Source organism: Homo sapiens, chromosome 7 (assembly GCF_000001405.40).
Source record: "Homo sapiens chromosome 7, GRCh38.p14 Primary Assembly".
Classification (NCBI taxonomy): Eukaryota; Metazoa; Chordata; class Mammalia; order Primates; family Hominidae; genus Homo; species Homo sapiens.
Genome location: NC_000007.14, coordinates 14474334 through 14496466, shown reverse-complemented (window position 1 = coordinate 14496466; position 22133 = coordinate 14474334). Strand labels below are relative to the sequence as shown.

The window sequence follows — 22133 nt, the reverse complement described above, 5'->3', positions numbered from 1 at the left end:
CTTATACCACTCATTTTTGCTTGATCATTCTGATATGAATAAAAGAACCCAAAAGGCACCATTTTTGTAAAGCATAGCCATTTGTAACTGAGAAACAAATACCCATCCATCTATCTTACCACCTTTTAAACTTTTATATTTTTAATATGCCACTGAGGTTTATCTTCATAAAAACCCAAGAACAAATTGCTTCAGGCAATTATTATAAGTTTGACCATATGGGCATTACTTCTACAATCTACATTTGAAATTCAAAAACAAATCTTATGCACATGTTTGATGAAACATGAACTATTTATTTGTTAAAGGTAAGGCAAAAGAAAAAGCTACTTCCGTAAATTTTTTAAAAATGCAAGTCAGTATGTTAATTATTAATTTGAATGTCTACAATAATGGGTACCTCTGATATTTAAGGAAGTCATTATTCCACTGTGTAGTCAAAAAGTATATTGATTAGAATTAATTCACTACAAGAAGCCTCCAATAATTTTTAACATAAGTTTTTCCTCTTTAACAGTAGCCTGAAGCTTGTCTCTTTTTTTTGTGTGGTCAATTTAGCAACAAATTTGCAATTAATCATTTACTGATTGCAATGAATGTTCTGTCAATAATACGCAACTCACATTGCTAAAAGGGTTATACTAAGCTTTATTGTTTTCGTTTTGTCTTGGGAATCTTTGTCTAGCTAGGCTTCCTAGAATGGATTTTGAATAGTTGTTTTGAAGTAAACCATGCCAGTTTTAAAGAGACACTACAGGCAGCTCTGAGGGTATTAATCAAGATATGCCCTAACTTTCTTTTGGCATTACAATATTTGGACATCTGTTCTGACTCCTTATATGTGAAATAAAACTCATACCAGATAGTAGAATAAATGAAGGGTTTCATTATCTTAAATGTCATAACATTTGTTTGAATTATCATGTGTAGATTTTAAATGCTGAAATTGTCATCTTGGTTTTGTTTCGTCTATTTTGCTGTCCTTTCAAAAGACTATAAGCCTGAAAACTTCTTTTTTCAATTGCATTAATAATTTAAAAAGAAATAATTTACAATTTTGTGTAATAACAGTGAAATTGTTGTGCAGGGGCTATATAGTCTGGTAATTTCTAAAAGCATAAATATTTTACTGAGAAACATACCCTTTTAAAGCACAAAAGGTTTCTTGTTATAATGGCAGTGTATTTAGTGACAAATAATGCATTTTAAAAGAGCCATTTGTTGACCATTATTCTCTTTGTGCAATAGTATTATAGATTCTTATGTGTTCACTTATTAAAGTATTTTCCATTGTGTGTATCAGGAAGGATTTGTCTCTGAATTCAGTGGTGCCACTGATTAGTGGGGACTACATCTAGAGAATCATGGGTCAACTTGAAATACAATAGGAATATATTTGTACTTTTCATTTAAGCAACAGAAAATAAATAATTTGATTCTGCTGGATATCAACAATACTATCAAATTTAGCCTATTAAACCTTTGTCTTTCTTGAAGACATTTAAAAAATAGTATTACTAATCTTGTGAAGATAGTTTACTGTTTTATCATGAAGCCATATAACATGCAGATCCACGTGGATTGTATATATTAGTAGGACTAGATACTGGTCAAGTGTATGTATTTTTTTAAATTTCACGTTAGAGTGAAACAAAGACATACAATTTGAAATACATAAAATGATTTAACTAAATCATGGAAGCAAAGCAGTGTTTTACAAATGTGTAATTTTGAATACCTTTAAAAAGTCATAGGCGCTTTCAACCTTCTATTCACTTTGCATATTTGATGTCAGAGAATGAGTGATGTTTTTGCCTGGCAAAACATTGCAATACAAGGTGTCCCATAATATTTTGTTTGTGAGACTAATTTAAGGTGGTTATCATTCTTAATAAGTGAATGCCATATTAAGCCATAAGTGTGGTTAACCCATAAATACTGCTTATTTGAAAAGATGAAAAATGGTAGGCTAAATTTGTATTCTTATATTTGCAAAGACTGCTTTTTATTTCTTTTGGTGGGTAGGGTCACAAATTAAGATTAGCACAATACAGAAAAAAGTGTCCCGTTTGAATCACTAAGTGTAGATTGTCTCAAGATGCTTATACATTTTGTTAGGCATCTAAAATCTCATTTTATAAAATTCTAAAATTAAAATACTATATGAATATAAAAGATAAAATGCTAGATAAGAAATGAACTAATACTAATACTTGACTACTAAGTTAATATCATAGAAAATATACTCTTTTAAGGAATACTTCCATAAGACAATATATTTTGATTATGTACTTTCCTGAACAAGGGGGCCTTTAAAAGAATTTAATATGCAGAGCATTTTCATATATTTTAAACCTTCAAAGAGCTTGAAACATTGAAGCTAATACATCGGTGCCAAAATAACGTGGAGCATTTTGGCCATACATGTAATTATAGATTTTATATTGGATATGGCATATGATTAACATCACATTTCAGTTTAATTGCTATGATGTGTACATAGATGTGTGTGTGTGTGTGTGTGTGTGTGTGTGTGTGTGTATGATACCATGATAGCCATGGTATTTTATGATGACTTTTTTATATGTGAGAAGTTTACATGCTGGATAAGTCCAGAAATGTAGAATGCTTAATATTACAGTAGTCCCCTTTATCTGTGGTTGTGCTTTCCACGGTTTCAGTTACTGCAGTCAACCATAGTCTGAAATATTAATCAAATATTCCAGAAATAAACAATTTATATGTTTTAAATTGCACACTGTTCTAGTAGCATGATGAAATCTTGGACCGTCCCTGGACCTCCCCACCCAGGTCTTGAATCATCCCTTTGTCCAGGGAATCCACGTTGAATATGCTACCTGCCACTTAGGTCACTCGTAGCCTAATGCTACATTCACAGTGCCTATTCACTTCACTTTGTCTCATCCTGTAAGCTTCATATCATCTTGTTTCATCCCAAGAAGTAGGGTGACTACAGTACAAGAAAATATTTTGGGAGAGATAAACACCACATTCACGTAACTTTTATTACAGTATATGTGATAATTGTTCTATTTTATTATTAGTTATTGTTATTATTTACTGTACCTAATTTCTAATTTAAACTTTATCATAGGTATGTACATATGTAAGGGAAAACCATATATATACTTATATACACGGTTCTGTACTATCTGCAGTTTCAGGCATCTACTGAGAGTCTTAGAATGTATACCCTGTAGATAAGGGGAAAACATGGTATTAGCATCCATTGTTTCATCAAGCATCACCATCTCTTCCTTTTAGTCTTCAAATAGCAGAGTAGAACATAAAACTCCATTTTCAATCCATAGTTTATTCAAATAAACATAATTGACCACATATACTTGCCTAATTAGAGAACCATTTTGCTGGAAACTAACATAAAACTATTTTATCAGAAATACTAACACTAGGCAAATATGCCTCTGAAAGTTTGCATAGATTAAGCATTCAAAGTAGATGTATTGAAAAATGGTTATGTCTATGTAAGCATACAGGGATAGTTCCATGTTTGCAAAATTTGACTATGGCTATTACTATTTATGACAGCCTACAAACAGTATAATTAAAATATTTCTTTCAATCCATTAAAGTTTAACCCTTTTTTGTCATGTACTTTAAATGTGTAATTGTATTGAGTTGTTATTGCTATTGAATGTAAGCTATCAAAAGGATTTAAATTTCTTGGCCCTTATTATTTTTGAGGTGAACCATGTCTTTTATTTTTAGAGGTGTTTGTTAAATTACTTTATGGTGGCATAAAGGTCAGACCTAGAAATACATCAGGTCTAGAACTGTAGAAACCCATCATGGCGGGGGTTCATGATTTGCAGAAAACAGAGATTAAAGTATTACATCTAATACCCATTAATTCTGTGAATCCCTGTAAGCTGTACCTCACTAACAAATGTGTCAATTGTATTTTCTTTTCTTCAAACAATCCAAAATATGGATAATTTTCCTTGCATGAAGACTAGACCTTTGTTTTTAGGTTGGAAAAACATGAGCAAATATTTTAAGTGCCACCAATGCAATATCTTATATATGTTCTTTTATTGGTATTTTTAAATTTTCCCTCAGGGCTTTCAACTCCAGCCATCACCCCCCACCCTAGACAATAGCTACCTCCTCACTCCCTCAACAAGATTTGATCCTTCTGCAGTACATAAAACCTGTTCACATTATTGTTCCTTTCTCTACTGCCCATAGGAAAGTCCTCAATAGACTAGTTATAGCCCTGTTTTGGGGTAATAAAAGCAAAGATTAACAGGAGCAATTTCCCCTTATAGGTTTTATGTCTAGAATTTTTTTCTAGATACACAATAGATTTTAATTTTTATATTACATTATAAACAAAACACTTTTATCTCTGTAAACTTTTATGAATTAAAAATTAATCATTTATAAGGATAATGTAATAGGCCTATATTCTCTTTCAAATACTAGTTTAGTGTTATGGGAGTTCTGCAGTCACTTTTTACAATGTTCTTTGTAGCACTGAGGTATGAGATATTTTTGCTGAGGGATGTTGGACTCAATTTTTCTAACAAGTTAGATAAATTATGAGTCTCTCATGGTTTTAAGCTATTAATTTACTGATTTGATTCTCTTTAATTACTATGATTACAATAAAGGACAGTTAAAATAATATTATTCTTGAGAACAAAGAATGAGGACAAATGTTATTTATCATTTAAAAAGAATCAATCAACGATATTTTGTTTTTTAACATCCTCCAGGAACTAAATCGTTAATTAAATAAAACCTACCATTATGTTAAGAATAGAATTATGGACACAAGCAGCCTCTAAATTTCTGAATAATATGTGTTCTTTTAGGAAATATTGGATGCTAATGGCATTAGCAACAATAAATGATGAAATACCTTAGAGAAAAGCAGAAGTGGTTCTTCATGAAAATTAACATCAAGTGAATTATCCAGTAATCCATATTGCTTGACAAGATGGGTATTAGTCCATTTCCATGCTGCAAATAAAGACATACCTGAGACTGGGTAATTTATAAAGAAAAAGAGATTTAATGGATTCACAGTTCCACGTGCCTGGGAAGATCTCACAATCATGACAGAAGGTAAAAGGCACATCTTACATGGCAGCAGACAAGAGAGAGAATATGAGAGCCAAGTGAAAGGAGTTTCCCCTTAAAAAACCATCAGATCTCATGAGATTTATTCACTACATGAGGACAATATAGGGGAAAAAGCCCCCATGATTAAATTATCTCCCATCTGCTCCCTCTCATAACACATGGGAATTATGGGAACTAAAATTCAGGATGAGATTTGGGTGGGGACACAGCCAAACCATATCAATATGGAAGTAGCACCATGAGTCATGGATTGAGAGTTTAAAGACTAAACTCATTCTCACTTCTAGGGAGCTGCATAATCTCTAGAAAGCCCCTTAAACTCAGATCTATTCTTTCTAAAGGGCAAACATTAGCATCTCTCCTGTTTCTGCATTAAAAAAAAAAAATTACCACAATTAATCAGGTCAAAATGAATAATTTACCAGAAAATCCTTTGGAAATCACACAGCTCTATATAAATACAAAGTTTTGTCATTTTGTCTCTAAAGAAAAATAATTGAGTGAAATATTTTGTAGAAATCGCCATTACAGAATTCACTGACTCCCTAATTTTATGTTCTCACAGGAATGAAGCGCTGAATAAATGATTACCTTTGTTTCAATTAGGATCGTAATTGGCTTTATGGAACAATAACAAAGTTCTAAGTCATAGGCTTCTTTTCCCAGGACAACTGGAAGAAGTTAGTTCAAAGCCAGTAGGACAGCTTCAAGTTGTTTTAAAGGACTGGACTCCTTTTTGTCCCCCTTTTCAACTTTCAGGAATTAAATCCACATTTCTGTGAGTAAGGTGGTGGTAATGAAGGGTGGAATGGACCTCTGTCTAGATAACCATTTCTAGTTACAAAGGTACCCAGGAAAATCAGAATGTATTTGTTTATTAGCTGGGCACGTGGCTGCCTAGATGAAATGAGATGCAAATAAATAAACTATGCTGTCACTTTGAGATATCTAATTGAAATTAACCAAATTATTAAGATAATTGTCTTTCAGGTATAAAGAAAATAATTATATTTTGGAAATTATTCTTATAATAAAGCTTGATTCTCTTTGGAATTCATAAGCTAAAGCCTTTTGAGATAGTAGACTATGTAACTATGTGCTATTTACATATAGTTACATATATTCTGGTTTAAGTTTTGGCTACCTTAACTTGATTTTTGCTGAGTTATGTAAACCAATTAAGTTTCAGCTTTTTCTCTAGAACAATATTTACCTCATTGACTCACTAAGGAAATTAAATGGGATTAAAAACTATATAATTGTACTTTGCACTCTGTTCTTGGTGCAGCATCGATACTGTTGGCGTTCTTGAGTTAATGAATGTTATAGAGAACCTTACTTTCAGACTTTTGCCGTGAAAGTTATATTATTTCTAGTTCTGGTTCCACCACACTATCCAGCTCCCTTCTCTCTGTCCCAGTATAATTCTCAAGGGACCCCTTAGCCTCAATTGCAGGCTTATATCCTCCCGCGCCTTTGAGATCTATTCTCATTCCTACTTGTAGATAGTAAACATGATTTTTCTTCTATCTCATTTCCCCTCCTCCTTTGTGTCCACTTCAGGCTCCACTGCTGCCTGTATCCCTACCTCTTACTCTCCCATCTCATCCCAAGTTACTGGTGACCACTCATACCGCTTTGGTCATTCCCCACTTCAGTTTAATGATTGCAAACGCACATGAGGTTTTGACTTGGATTTATTTTGCAAAATTAAGTATTATGCTGTCACATTTCAAACCCTTGGGTATTCAAAGATGATAAGTCTTTCTTTGCAGATTTTCGGAAATTATATCAAATCACTGAACACATTTGCAGCTTTTATCAGATTGAATGAATACTGTAATGACCAATCAACCTGAGACATATAAATGTAATTGATGGATACAACCTTTGTGCCTTAACTGAGAAAGATATCTTGATTATTGAAAATAATATATATCAGCAAAAACACTTAGGGTTTCCAGAAACTAAAACAGAGTTAAATATCTAATTTACTGTGAAATGAACAGTTTTAAATATATTACATTGACTTGATTTCTCAATTCAAAATCTCAATCAAATGATTATAGTAAATATCTTAGCTATATAAGTTTATATACCTGTCATTGTTTTCTAATTGGGAAAGAGGAATGGAAACTATGAAATAAGGATTCTATTAGAGGGAGACCAAAACACACTGGAACCCTACATTATTCAATAGATACAGGCAGAGTTTGTGAAATATTCTAGGCCTATGATCATCTTAGTAAAGATTTTTGTTAAGTATTTTCTTGTCAGGTGACACTTAGGGAAGTAGATTAATTCTATGTTAAGACACAGATGATTTGTTTCTTCAGTGACATGTTGGATTACACTTTTAATTCAGTTGCTGATTGTATGCTCTTTACAATTTTCTTCATTTTAGATTTCTAGACCTAATTTTTGTTGTTTAGATTTCTAGAAAATAATTTTTGTTGTTGTTGTTGTTGTTGTTGGGTTTTTTTTGTTTTTTTTTGTTTTTTTTTGGAGACGGAGTCTTGCTCTGTCACCCCGTTTGGATGGAGTGCAGTGGCGCAGTCTCGGCTCACTGCAATCTCCTCCTCCTGAGTTCAAGCGATTCTCCTGCCTCAGCCTCCCGAGTAGCTGGGACTACAGGTGCGTGCCACCACACCGAGCTAATTTTATATATATACTTTTTTTTTTTTTTTTAGTGGAAATGGGGCTTCACCATGTTGGTCTCGAACTCCTGACCTCAGGTGATCTGCCCACCTCAGCCTCCCAAAGTGCTGGGATAACAGGCGTGAGCCACTGCACCTGGCCTAAATCTAGAGATTTAAAATAAACGCCTTGAGAGAAATTCCATCTCTTTAATCCATTAAAAATGAGTCTGGAATTTGCTTGGTAGAAGAAACTTTGTATTTAAGGGAGCATTTTAATCACAGAAATGATATATCTGTGGTTATAGTAAGTGTATAGTAAGTTTATTCTTTCTACAAGTTTGTTTCTGAAGCTTACAGTTAATTATGTGAAAAGACCATTACAGACGTTTTCTGGCATTGCTAATGCTACATATTGTACGCAGGAAAGAGCAAGAGTGGGATTTATAATTTATATTCTCTTCTTGGAAGTTGTCTCTAGATTCTCTGAGGTCAATTTTTTTCATATTTTGAATTAGTCTGCCCAATTTCATGAACTCTTCTGTATGAAATATTTGTAACCTAGAGAAATTCTCAGTAAGATTATTAAAACTTAATTAAAATCTCTTCATCTGGTTCCCTAGCTGTAGTCATGGGTTTCTGTTTTGGAATTGAGACTCATAGTAATCATTTGTACATTTGCTTTCAATCCTGTCATATTCCATTACAATGTTCATAAGTTTTTATTTACAGCAGATGAGAAATATATTTTATTTCCAATAATAATTGATTTGTCAAAGGTCATTTTTGCCAGGCACATTGCCTCACACCTGTTAATTCCAACACTTTTGGAGGCTGAAGTAGGAGAATCACTTGAGGCCAGGAGTTGGAGAGTAGCCTGGACAACATAGCTTGACCTCATCTCTCATCTCTAAAGAAAAAAAAAAAAAAGTTAGTCAGGCATGATAGCTAATGCCTGTAATCCCAGCTTACTCGAGGGGTCAAGGCAAGAGGATCACTGGAGCCCAGGAGTTCAAGGCTGCAGTGAGCTATTGCACTGCACTGCAGCCAATGTCACCACTGCACTCCAGCCTTGGTGACAGGGAGAGATTCTGTCTCCAAAAAAAAAAAAAAAAAAGGAATTTTCTTAAGAACTTTGACTTTTTGGAGTAAAATGGAAATCTAGGCAGTAGGCATAATTAAATATTTAGAAATAGTTACAATGATTAACTTAAAGTTCACATAGAAAATTACTAACATTCACTTATGGTAGAAGTCCACAGAGATTTAATCCAGCTCCTTTTATGCTTATTGGTCCTATTCTAGATTCATCTTGGCTTTTTTAAAACCACTTTACTAGTCTAACCTATGAGCATTATTTAAGGTCAATTCTAAATTTAAAATTCTAAGGTTTCATTTCTTTTCAACACATGAAAATTAAAATCAAGCAAACCGGAGGAAACTGCTAGGGACAGGCGTGTTGTTTGCAGCATGTTAGAATTTAACATATTAGAATGTTAACAGTCTAATGTGGTGGAAGAGGAAATAAGTTAAAAATCCAGAAACGATTACAAGGCACAACTACCACTCGGCAGTCTGGAGTCATTTCATGGAAAGTGAATAGCCCTACACACTCTGCCCACCACGGTACGTGGCATGTGTTACTTAACAAGATGACTCTTGCCATTATGAAAAGGTTAAAGGTGATGCTACGTATCAATTTTAATAAGACAAAAGATTAATCTTTTACTTCAGTTAAATTAAATCTATAGATTTAATGAAATATTTTTAATCTAAATTGTTGAAGTTTAAATGTAAATGTTTAATGCATAATGTATAGTGGAAAATATAAAACAATTTATACTGATACTCCGGTGGTCACCTTAATTAATAATTGTCAATACTTTACCATAGATTTGGTACTGGTGCTTTTTAGACTTCTGTGCACACACAGCTCTCCATTCTACCATAAGCATTGAATCTCAAGGACTGTGGTCCCTGTGTTCTGGGTGCTTCTGTTTGCCTCTCTAGATATTCTCTCTGCCCTTGTTCGTTCTGCTGTCTGCCTGAGAAATGTCCTGTATAGAAGACAGCAAAGTTCCCTTGCCCTCTTTCTTCTAGTGGAGTTGGCCAGTTGAGATCCCCACAGTAGATGAGAGGATATAAAGCAGGGTTCAGGTTCTTACGTTCCTGGATACCTCGGTGAAAATGTCACCTGGGGCTGGATGTCTTTTCCTCCCAAGGCCGTTTTCTCTATATAACTCTTTCCCTCTGGGTCTGGTAACTAGCTCCTCACATTGTCCCTTTGGACATACGAGTGTTTTACCTACCCCAGTATTCTGCATGATCCTATGTGGTTTCCCACAGACTTTTTGGTAGTCATTTAAAAAGAGTAAACTTTCCTCCAATTACAATAGGGCACTTCTTCAGATTAGAGGCCACCATCTGTTTTTGATGGAACAATGATGCTGCCCCTTCTCCCAGTGTATAGCTACTACTTTCCCAAGGGGCCCTTCCTGAATGGGAGGGACAATGGGAAAATGCTGAAGTAAGGCAGGCCTTATCTCACAGATAACCCAGGTATCACTGCCCTCTGCAACATAATCACAAGAGTGATATGACCATGTCCAACTTTATGGAATAATTATTTTTTAAAAAAAAGAATGAAGTGGATTGTAAAGTTTGAGATTAATAACTTGAACTGGATTCTAATTATAAATTTTGCCATCACCTAATATCAAATACCCAAGAAATTAAATAATTCACTTGGAACCTGCTCACGGGTGCAGCCACCTTCATACAAAGGTGTCCCTATTTTTTTTTTTTTTTTGAGATGGAGTTTTATTCTTGTTACCCAGGCCAGAGTGCAATGGCGCAGTCTTAGCCCACTGCAACCTCCGCCTCCTGGGTTCAAATGATTCTCCTGCCTCAGCCTCCCAGTAGCTGGGATTACAGGTGCCCACTACCATGCCCGGGTATTTTTTTTTTTCTGTATTTTTAGTAGAGATGGGGTTTCACCATGTTGGCCAGGCTGGTCTCAAGTGATCTGCCTGTCTCAGTCTCCCAAAGTGCTGGGATTACAGGCGTGAGCCACCGCACCCGGCCAGGTGTCCCTATTTAAAATCTGCTTTTGAATTTTCATGTACCATTCAGCAAATCCTATATCCTACTCTAGGGATTTGCTTTATTCTAAATCCCATTAACTTGCTCTCAATCATGTATTTCTCCAAGTCTCTAAGTTATTTCATTCTAGAAAAATGCCCTGGTTGTTCCAGCAGTGTAATCCAAAACTAAGTAACAGAAATCTACAATGGGTTCCATCTGAAGTATTCACAGCAGGCAAAATTGCAGATGTGCATCATAATGCATCTGAGTTCCTGTCGAATCACACACACACACACACACACACACACACACACACCTCATGAGCATTAGTTCTAAAAGACAAAAAATGCAATCTAGCAGAGTAAAGTCCAGGTGCTGCTACCTGTGCTCGCATTTAGAAGAGCTTGTATCATTCCTCAGACACTGTAACATCAACTCCCTAAATCTTTGTAACTCAGGATAGTGTGTATCTCCACTGATTGTGTGTGTGTGTGTGTGTGTGTGTGTGTGTGTGTGTGTGGTGTGTGTGTGTCTTTCAGTAATTATCATTTTTCCCCATAGGACTCAGATTAACAGACTTTTTACCTATATATTTATAATTACTTTTGCCATTGTAAATGGTATTATTTTTCTGTTACTTTGTTTTAATGTTGTCAATTCCACTAATTGTTATATACTACTCCTATATCTGGGAAACTTTAAACTCTTCTCCCAATTTATGTGGATTTCAGTTTATTTCTTTGAATTTGCTGTATATAACATTATATCATGTATAAATAATGATAGCCTTTCTTTTTCTTTATGATACATGTAACTTTTATTGTCTAATTCTTGATGTGTTATATTTCTAAAGATCGCACATACAATCTTAAATAGATACTCAGCAGTGCTATCTGGGGTGTGTTAGGCCATTCTTGCTTGCTGTAAAGAAACACCTGAGGCTGGGTAATTTCTAAGAAAAGAGATTTAATTGGCTCAAGGTTCTGCAGACTGTACAGCAAGCATAGCACCAGCTTAAGCTTCTGTTGAAGCCTGAGGAAGCTTACAATCATGGCGGAAAGCAAAGGGGCAACAGGTGCCTCACATGGCAATAGCAGGAGCAAGAGGTGGGGGGAGATGCCACACACTTTAGGAAGCCAGATCTCATGAGAACTCACCCATTGTGGCAACACCAAGGAGACGGTGCTGAAGCACTCATAAGAAATCTGCCCCCATGATCTAATTTCCTCCCACGAGGCCCCACCTCCAACACTGGGTACCACAATTCAACATGATGTTCAGAGGGGAAAACATCTACACTATATTGTCGCGTTAAAATAAATCCTTCTTTTCAAAACAACAATTTTTACCTCTAGAGTTTTACTGTTTGGTTGTTGTGTGTCAACTTTGTGGAGTTGACATATATATAGGCTTTGCTATGCCTATTCTAATGTGCTCTTATGCCTTTTTGCTAAGTTATAGATTCTAAACTGTGTGTTAAATACAAAAATAATGCAAATTCAAATTAAGAGGATCAAAATAACCATGGATTCAAGAAAGAATTAAAATATTATAGAATAATGTTTTTCTCAAAAAAAAAAAAACCCTACATGAACAGATGAAGTATAAGTTTCCCATGCCTGCTGTAACAAATTACCACAAACCTGTTGACTTATAACAACAGAAATGTATTGTCTCACAGTTCAAGAGATGATAAATCCAAATTTAATATCCTTGGACTAAAATCGAGGTGCTCCTAGGTTTATGCTCCCTCCAGAGGTGATGGAGAACAAAACATTTCTTGTGGCTCTTGGCTTCTGGTGGCTTTCAGCATTCTTTAAGTTGTGGCTGCACCACTCCAATGTCTGCCTTTGTAGTCGCATCGTCTCCTCCTGTCTAATCTCTGTCTCTCTCTCATAAGGAAATTGTGAAGGGAATTACGTCCCACCTGGATAATCTTCTCATCACCAAATTATTAATCATATTTTCAAAAACCTTTACCATCAAAGGTAACATTTCAAGGTTCTAGAGATTAGGACCTGATATGTTTAGGGATCACAGTCATCCCACTGCTAACTGTCCTCTGGCCCCCAAAGATTCATGTCTGTGTGCAAAATACATTTACCTCTTCTTGATATCCCCAAATGGCTCAGTCCTTTACGTCATCAACTTAAGTAGAAAATCTGATCTAAATATCTTCAGCTCCAAGTCTCAAAGCTCATCATGTAAATAACCTAAATCAGATACAGATGACACTTAGTATCATCCATCTTCAGGTAAAATATCTCTCCATTTGTGGACATGTTAAAGTAGAAAACAAGTTATGTGCTTTCAAAATACAGTGGCAAAAAAGCATAGTATCACAGTTGTACGCATTCCTATTCCCGCAAAAAGAAAGTGCAATGTAGAGAGGGGTCACTGGTTCCAATCGATATCAATCATCAACTTGGTCACTTCTGTAAAAAAAGTTACCAGGTTCCAGTTATTAGGATCTGATATCTTTTTGGGGGGCACCATTGAGCCCACTACAGATGATGTAATAAAAAACATAATTTATGAAGAGATAGAAAAACTAATATAGCAGAGAAATTAAGAAAACCAAAACGTTAACTTCTCCAAAAAAAAAAATGCCAGGCCAACATTTCACAGATGATTAAAGAACAAATAATTCCCATGCATTATTAACTATTCTGCAGCATAAAGAAGAAAACCTTCTGGCTCTATTTAATCAACCCAGCACTACAGATATCAATATCTGATACAGTCTGCCTGGGAAATAATCCCACTTGTGGCTATTATTGTAATTTTCTTTAAAAATATTAACAGGTGAAAATAGTGCCTTATATACATAGTATATTCAGGTAATGATTGTCAGGAGAGCATAGTACATTCAGGTAAACACTATCAGGAGAGCAAACATTGTTTTATTCCAGATGGGAAATACAGAACCACAATCTCTTACCTAAAAGCTCAATCTAACAAAGCTTTGAAAACCCAGATTTTTATAGTTTCTTAGTGAGAACTATAACCTGAACTAAGCTGCTCTTTGTGGTATTACAAAGTGTAGTGTTTCTAGTATAACTGTAATTACAGTTAGCTCTATCTCACATTGTTAATTTATCTTTCCTTGAGTTAATATTCATATGTACTAGTGCAGAAATATTTATGTGAAGTTTAAGTATAGTGTGATATTCCTCACCCTTTTGAGTTTGTTAGATAATTTATCATATATGAATGCATAACCCAAAAAATTCTGAATACCAAAGCAAAAATTTCCTCATATACTTCATCTTAAAGATTATGCAATTTATTTAATTAACCATCTCAATAAACCAAAGGAGAAGGTATTATGAATCTCAAAATCATGAATATTTTTCAGTAATAGTAATAGTTAACATTTATTTTCTTGCTTTCTATACACCAGGCACAATTCTAGTTATCTTCCAGGTATTAGAACACCAGATCTTCAAAGCAAGGCAGGTATTATTAAAATTATTCTTATTTTAATATAGGAAAATGACAATAATGAAAATCTAAGCAAACTTTTCAAAGTAAAATATTCAGTAAAATTTAGAGCTGGGTCTTGAACCCAGTCAATTTAATATACAGAGATAAATGGACACAGACTTCAATATGTAGTCCACATAAGAAGAAATATGAATGAACAAAAGCATAGGAAAAGATTGTTGTTATTGTGTACCTTTGACAAAACTTTTTGAAGTATACACTTAAAATTGGCAATTTTCTTGTTTGCAGTAACACTCCAAAAATATTACTGGAAATCTTTAACAAAATATTCAACAAATACAGCACCGAAAACCAGCTTTTGAAACTTTTTAGTAAATTACAATTTTTGAGAAAAAGAAAAGTTTGCACACAGGGAGAGATTGGAATTCATTCCTCCAAAAACAAGGAAGAACTAAATTATTTCAACAATAAAAACCCATATAGTATGCAAGATTACTTTTAATTCTAAAATTAGATTTTGGAATAACTCTTGATGACACTCATTTCTAATTGGCTAAATTTATATTCTATTCTAAAATGGAAAAAAATTGAAAAGATATTTAATGTGGTGCAATGGTCAAATCATCAAAAATGAACAATTTACTCGACAAATTTTAGAAACTATTTGTGAGAGAAAGATTATTTAAACAGAATAAAAGATAATATTGATGACAATATTTGGGTACCTCTATTTTACATTTTATAAAGACAATATTCTCCTCAGCAGAATTTGCTATAGGCTCTGGGATCTCAATACATATAGAACATTCTCTCAATTGAAAATGTTATGATCCATAGAAAATATTCAGCTTTTCAAATTAATATCATAAAATGCAAATTTGGAGATTTAGGGCAATTTTACTTAAAACATAAATAAGCCTATACAGAAAAAGGAAAAATACATTTCAGAAAAATACTAGTGATCAAGTATTTGAGACACATATGGCTAATAAGCTGATTATTCTATATACATATATTTGCATATACTTATATATGTACACGTAGCAAGAAAAGTTGCTAATTACATTTTTACTGTTTGAATAACACAATGAGGTTTAAATTTGTTTTGCTTTAATAAGATTGACTTATTTTCATTTCTTAGATTTTTTTAATTAATTAAAAATAAAGCTATATAGGTTAAGGAAATAATAAAAAGCAATGTAAGTCTTTAAAAATATATTTCAAAAATATGTCATTTAACCATATTTAGCATTCTCATTTAACTTTAAGAAAATACTGGTTTGTATATAAGATGTATGAAAATATGAGCTATATAGAATACTGTTCCAATTGCTATAGAGAATGATATTAAATCTCCACCAAGGTACTTTGAAGGGATGTCAGTATCCTCTTTTAAAGATAAGGAAGTTGTGGTTCTCAATGAATAAATAATTTGTTTGAAGTCACAAGGCTTGGAAGTAGAAAGTCTGAATTCAGAGTTTGTGCCTTCTAGGAAGCGGAAGTAATGCTGATTTATTTCTGTTGTCTAAAAACTGTAATGCATTCAGACAGAAATGGTAAAATTTATTTTAAAATGGCATTTTAGCTTTTTCTTATTTGGCTGTCTTTAGAGAACCTTTGGTGTCTCTTGAAAAATGGCTGCTGGATAGTGTTGCAGATTTTGGCAGTACTCTATCAAGCCCTTTGGGGTTATGCCAAAGGGACAGGGTCCCATGTGAATTGGATCTGAATTCTCATCCAAATGAACACCTGCTGTCATTGTTCCTTATCAATCCTGTAGTTGGCAATGCCAGTTCTCTTTTTATGGTGGAACCTATTCAACACAAGGAAAAGACCTGCTAGTGTTTGACACTAAGTTTTATTTTTTCCCCTCTTAACTAAATGATCCATTGCCCAAGTATCTTGAAGATAAATAAGCTAATATTAGTTCTATCTTTGGCTATGTAGTCCTGTGTTTCTAGGAGTTTACCCAATTATAGTCTAGTCTACTTAAATGGTCTTTTGCTGTCTCTCCCCTCTCTTCTCCCTCCTGTCTTCTTGCCTCTCTCCCTTTCTCTATTCTGTTTATGTTGCTTTGTAAAGGAAGAAATTTGTCATTACAAAAATATACACCTGTAAAAAAAATTGTACTACACAATCTATTTTTAAAAGTCTCAGTCTCCCCAACTTAGCAGAAACAATTCAAGCAGAAGTAAATTCAATGATACTCTCCCTATGGGAAGCAATATTGATTATTCATTCTTAGTGTTTGATTCATATTCCTTTGCTTTGTTTAACTAGTCTGCTGAATGTATGCCTTTAATTGGAAGGTATTCCAAGTTGATTTTGTACCAGATTAGGGATAAAGTAAAAGTAAGTGCATTTCAAAATTAATTAATTGATCATGCTACATATACCATAAATAGCCCAGTTCAGGTGTTTTTCCTGTAATCTCATACCACAGTAAGACAACTTCATATTATAAAGTATAATATGTTTATGACTTAATAGAATTAAATTTATAAAAAGGAACTCTGTGACTAGATTAGAGAGTTATCGTTGGACGAATAAAAGTGAACCATCTTGATATTTGTACTTCCTAGCAAACCAGGAAGTTGGCCATGTATATATAACAAAATAACGTCTTAAATATTAAACCGTAGAGGGGGATTTTTGTAACCTTTATTATAAGCATTGTTTCTATACACCTCTATCTATATGTCTGGGTGATTTTCATTCATGGATTCATTCAATTACTTGACAAATTTTAGGGTATCAAATGTTTATACAGAAAAAAAATTACAGTTAGCTGTATCCTGCAACTCTCTGCCATCTGCAGTGGGCATTGGTCCCTCTCTTTTTGTGCTTCATGCTTTGTTATGCATGAGTAAGCACATTAGCCTTTCATTTCATTCATTAGACTTTTAATCCTTGATTAGTGTTTTCAAGATTCTCTCAAATACACAACTTCTTTATTTCCTTGAGTTTGGTTTTCTTTTTCTTTTATCTCCACTTTGAAACAAAATTAACAGTGAATGTCAACAATAGCCCTTTTCTGTTGAGATGACTGGTAAATATATTAGTTCCTCATTTGAGTGATTAATCATGTGTGGTTGAAGAATGGGAAAATATCTCCACACTTGGAATAACAGAGATAATTGTTTAGAGTCAGTTGGAGCAGTCCGTGCTTGAAAAGCTTGGATAGCAGTATTTCAGCAGTCTCACACATTGAGTATGATTTCTATCTCATGGAAAAATTCTGTATTTGCTAAAAGTAAGAAACATCCATTAGGGTCAGAACCGATGCACTTGGGGTCTCAGAAACAAATTGTATTTGTCACCAATTCCCCAAAAATAAATGTTTCTCTTTGTTGTTGTTTTTTTTTTCTATTCAACGAGCTATGCCAGAAAGTTGCTTGTGGTCCAAACTGTTATTAATTACACATCAAGACAACCTGAGCAAATTCTGAAGTCAAGTATTGCACTTATCTTTACTAGACATGCACACTCACACCATCCTTTTACTCATAATTATCTCAAATAATTAGGAGCCTCTGTACTGATCATTTCTCCACTTAGGGCATCCTTCTAACTCTTGTTTAACAGTATTTTCCATTACTATTTGACATTTACACTCATATGTGCTATCTTCAACATACGTTGAACATGAGGCCAAAGCCAGTCATTAAAGGAGATATAGAAATTAAATAGCAATAAAGTCTTAGATGTAAATGTAACAAATAATCAATTGTGAAATTATTACGTAAATCACTTCTGCATAGAATTACATAAATCACTTCTGCATATGGATCACACATTTTTGCCTAATTTTACATAACCTTCTTGGCAATAATATTGTAAATAAAAGTTCATTTTGAAATGTTATTTTTTTATTTAGTCTACATTTTCATAAAATAATAGGATCATAAACCATCCTGTTTTTGTTTTCTATTTTCTCCCCTTAGGATGCCTCCATTGCACACAGATTCCACATCATGAGAGAAAAACACCCAGAGAAATTCAACAGTAGGTAAGGTGACAAAAGAGATGAAATTATAGATATAGTTGCTGAATTTTGCCATAAAAAGATCACTAGATGGTACAGAATATTTTATAATCTACTGGCTTTATGAGGCTTTGTGTGCGTGTGTGTGTGTGTGTGTGTAAATATTAAGATGGTAGGATAAATGAATTAAATTTTTCTTAGGTTGTGATGAAACTATAATGAGGAATGCAATGGGTCATCTCTATTTCATTCTCATGTATTATAAAGAAAGATTTCAAGTAAAACATGAAATTAATAGTTTTAAGACACACTGGAAGTTTTCATGACGTATATGAACAGCAATCAACCTTGATCCCAAGGAAAAACACAGGGTTCTGATTTGATAATGCTAAGTGTATATTACATAGGGATTATATATCTTTGGACTATCAGCTTCAAATTGGCCTAAACTAAATCAAAAGAAATTATAGTAATATCAATACCAATATAAATTATTTTTAGAGACATTTCTTCAAGGAGAAAAGACTTGACGAACAAAATTTCTTTCCTCATAAGAGCAATAGGCAAACATTTTTTCTTCAAAAATGTAGACATTGACCTTCACAGTTACTCAGGGAAACAGGAAAGCCTTGGTTCCGTATCTTCCCCATTTCTAGAAGGAAATATGGCTCTCTCCACCTCACTCCCCTAGAAAAGTGGGGCAGAAGAAGTGAATTATCTTTTGCTTCAATTATACTCATTTCCACTCTATTCAGCTCACAAAGCTACAAAACCATAACTAGCATTTCTGTATAGATATTTAAGTGACTTTATCTATTAATATTCAAAGCCAAGGGCTTTATTGTCGCTGCATTTGGCTGACATCTTGCCATAAATGTTATAGACCATTTATTAGATACCTGCACCTGGACATTCTTAAATTTATTTCAGTTTTGTCACTCATGAGTACATTGATGTAATCTTCTCCCATGTAGGTTCACAATAAATAAAATGCTGTTAAAAACTATTTCAAAATTGTTTTATAGTTTTCTAAATATTAAAATTGCACTACTTTATGCATAAATCATCACAGCAAATGTTTCATGAGTTTGTATCTAATTTTTCCTTAAATTTACCTATTGAGATCTTTTTAGTAGGCCGGGCACGGTGGCTCACGCCTGTAATCCCAGCACTTTGGGAGGCCAAGGCGGGCAGATCATGAGGTCGGGAGTTCGAGACCAGCCTGACCAACATGAGGAAACCATGTCTCTACTAAAAATACAAAAATGAGGGCGTGGTGGTGGGTGCCTGTAACCCAAGCTACTCAAGAGGCTGAGGCAGGAGAATCGTTTGAACCCTGGAGGCGGAGGTTGCAGTGAGCTGAGATTGCACCATTGCACTCCAGCCTGGGCAACAGAGTGAGATTCCGTCTCAAAAAAAAAAAAAAAAATGTTTTTAGTAACTAAAAACATAATCTAATACCTATGTTGGGTATTTCCTTGATTTGTTTTTTACCCTACAAATAAATCATGACCTTATGATTTGCTTTTTTCTTATAGTTCAGAAAACTATACTTTTTATCGTAAAGAAAATGAAATAAATGCATATATGGATATATATGTGTACATATATTTTCAGAATAATTCACACAAATTTTATAACTCTGGTTGCTTCTGGAGATGGGAACAAAGTGGTTGTGGTGACAACTGTATTTTTCTTTATTGTACTGTTTGAATTTTTCTCCAGGTGCATTTCAAAATTAAATCAAAGTAATCTAATTAAAATTTTGCACTATAAGTTGCCTTTGTACCTAGAATAGACATTTTTATTTTACAAGATTTAGTTTCAGTTCATGAAACACATGTAAAAATAAATTGACATAACAGTGAAAGTATATGTACTGTATAGATTTCAGCACTTGATTATACACCTCAAATATCCTGGAAATGAATATAGCTATTAATGTGTACAAAACATATTATAAGATAGAGTAGTCTATGCTTTCCCACATGTCATTCTATGAAGCATTCATATTTATATTCATATATATTATTTAAGTTATATTCATAAAGAAGTTTATATTCATATATTAAAATAGGTTTCAAGCAAAAAACGAAAGTGTGTTTGGATAATACCTTTTGGAGTGTACCTCTTAGAGAGTTTAACATAAAAAAGTTCATTAAAGGCTTTATAGAGAGATATATCAATATATTTATGTGCTAATCATATTTGACAACCTATGTGTAAGAATGCCAATATTTATTACCCTCTCTCAAGCATCAGAGGCTAATGAATTTCTTTCTGCAGAATAATTTTTAAGTCTTCTTACTCATAAAGACTCCTATTATTCACATATCTATTTAATCTTTTATTACTAATAGCTCTACTAATTTGTGACATTCCTCACTGCTCAGTATGTGATTAGATGCCATTTATAACAATGTGTTTGTAAACTTCAATGTTTTTTATAAGATGTAAAACTAACTGTATTAAAACTTCTTTGCAAATTTGAGTCATGAATGAACCTCGCTTATAAATAGCTTATAGGGAGTCTTTGCTAGAGATAATAACATAGAAAATGCTCTCTAAAATGACACAAAGTCACAGGTTTCTATTGCGAGTTCAAGAACCAGGTATAGAGTAGATGTTCAATGTATTATTGGCCAAATATTTTTTAAGATAATGATCAGCCACAGAATTCCATATATTACCACGTCAATTAGGCATGTATGTTTCAATCTATACATTTGCAGATTAAGTCTACAGTTATCATTTCAAGCATTTAGGCAATTCCCTAAACCATAATGTGATATATTCAGGATATGAACATTTTCTGATGAATTTCTGTGAGGAAGACATATTGTACCCAAGCAATTTCATACTTACAATGGCAGATAGTTCAGATTTCAACATTGCGACAGGCTCAGCCATAGCACACTTTCATATTTTCAGGAATTTGCAAATGGATTTTTTTAAGTACTCCTAATAATGGTATTTCAGATCAGATCTCTTGTCACAATAAATCACATGCCATTAATATTATCCTCTAGCATGCTCACCTTGAAATTCATTTATATTTTAAAGAACATGATGTTTCTAACATTATCTTAAGGAAATTAATTACCACAATATATAGTTCTGTTCTCTATGCTTCTTATGACAGAAATTGAAAGAACAGGGAAAGGTAATGATTTTTCCGTTGCTTAAGAGAGTGCTAGTTGAAAGGTTTATATCATATTCTTTCCAAATTTCTATATAAATCTAAGTTAACTGTTAAAAGAAAGCATGCTGTTTAACTTTCTAAACTTTAAGATATTCTTCCAACAAACGGAATTTGAATAAAAACTTCCAGTCCTTTAGACTCAAGAAAAAAAAAAACTAAATATTTATGCTACTAGAATTTTAAACTATTTATTACATAATATTGGTATTTAAAATATTTATATAAATTGTCAATTAGTATTCATAAACATATTTACATTCATAATTCACATACATAATACTTCTCATGGTGCTATTTAGAGAGATGACTTTAAATACTTCCTTTTTTGAAAAAAAGGATATTAATAATTATTTATTACCATACTAAAATAAGCAACATTAAAAAGGGCAATTATAAAGGCGTATAATGATTTTAGAAAAACATGCAAAGCAGTGTGGAATTCCTTGTGTAAAACTATGTAACATTGAAAAGGACTTCCAAGTAACTTGCAAAATGGAACCAGTTATAGGAAAAGTATTGGCAGTGTATTACTCTGTTTTCACGCTGCTGATAAAGACATATCTGAGACTGGACAATTTACAAAAGAAAGGTTTATTGGACTTACAGTTCCACATGGCTGAGAAGGCCTCACAATCATGGCAGAAGGCAA

At 33.4% G+C, this 22133-nt stretch overlaps 1 protein-coding gene across 25 annotated transcripts in view; it reads left to right on the top strand.

Annotated features, from left to right (window-relative positions):
• The window catches only part of DGKB (diacylglycerol kinase beta), an 829810-nt gene that overhangs the window by 478392 nt on the left and 329285 nt on the right, over positions 1-22133 (top strand). For all 25 annotated transcript variants that reach the window (NM_001350722.2, NM_001350711.2, NM_001350717.2 and 22 more), the window contains one exon: positions 18242-18306. In NM_001350722.2, the coding sequence (NP_001337651.1) occupies positions 18242-18306 (65 nt within the window). The remainder of the gene's footprint in view (positions 1-18241; positions 18307-22133) is intronic.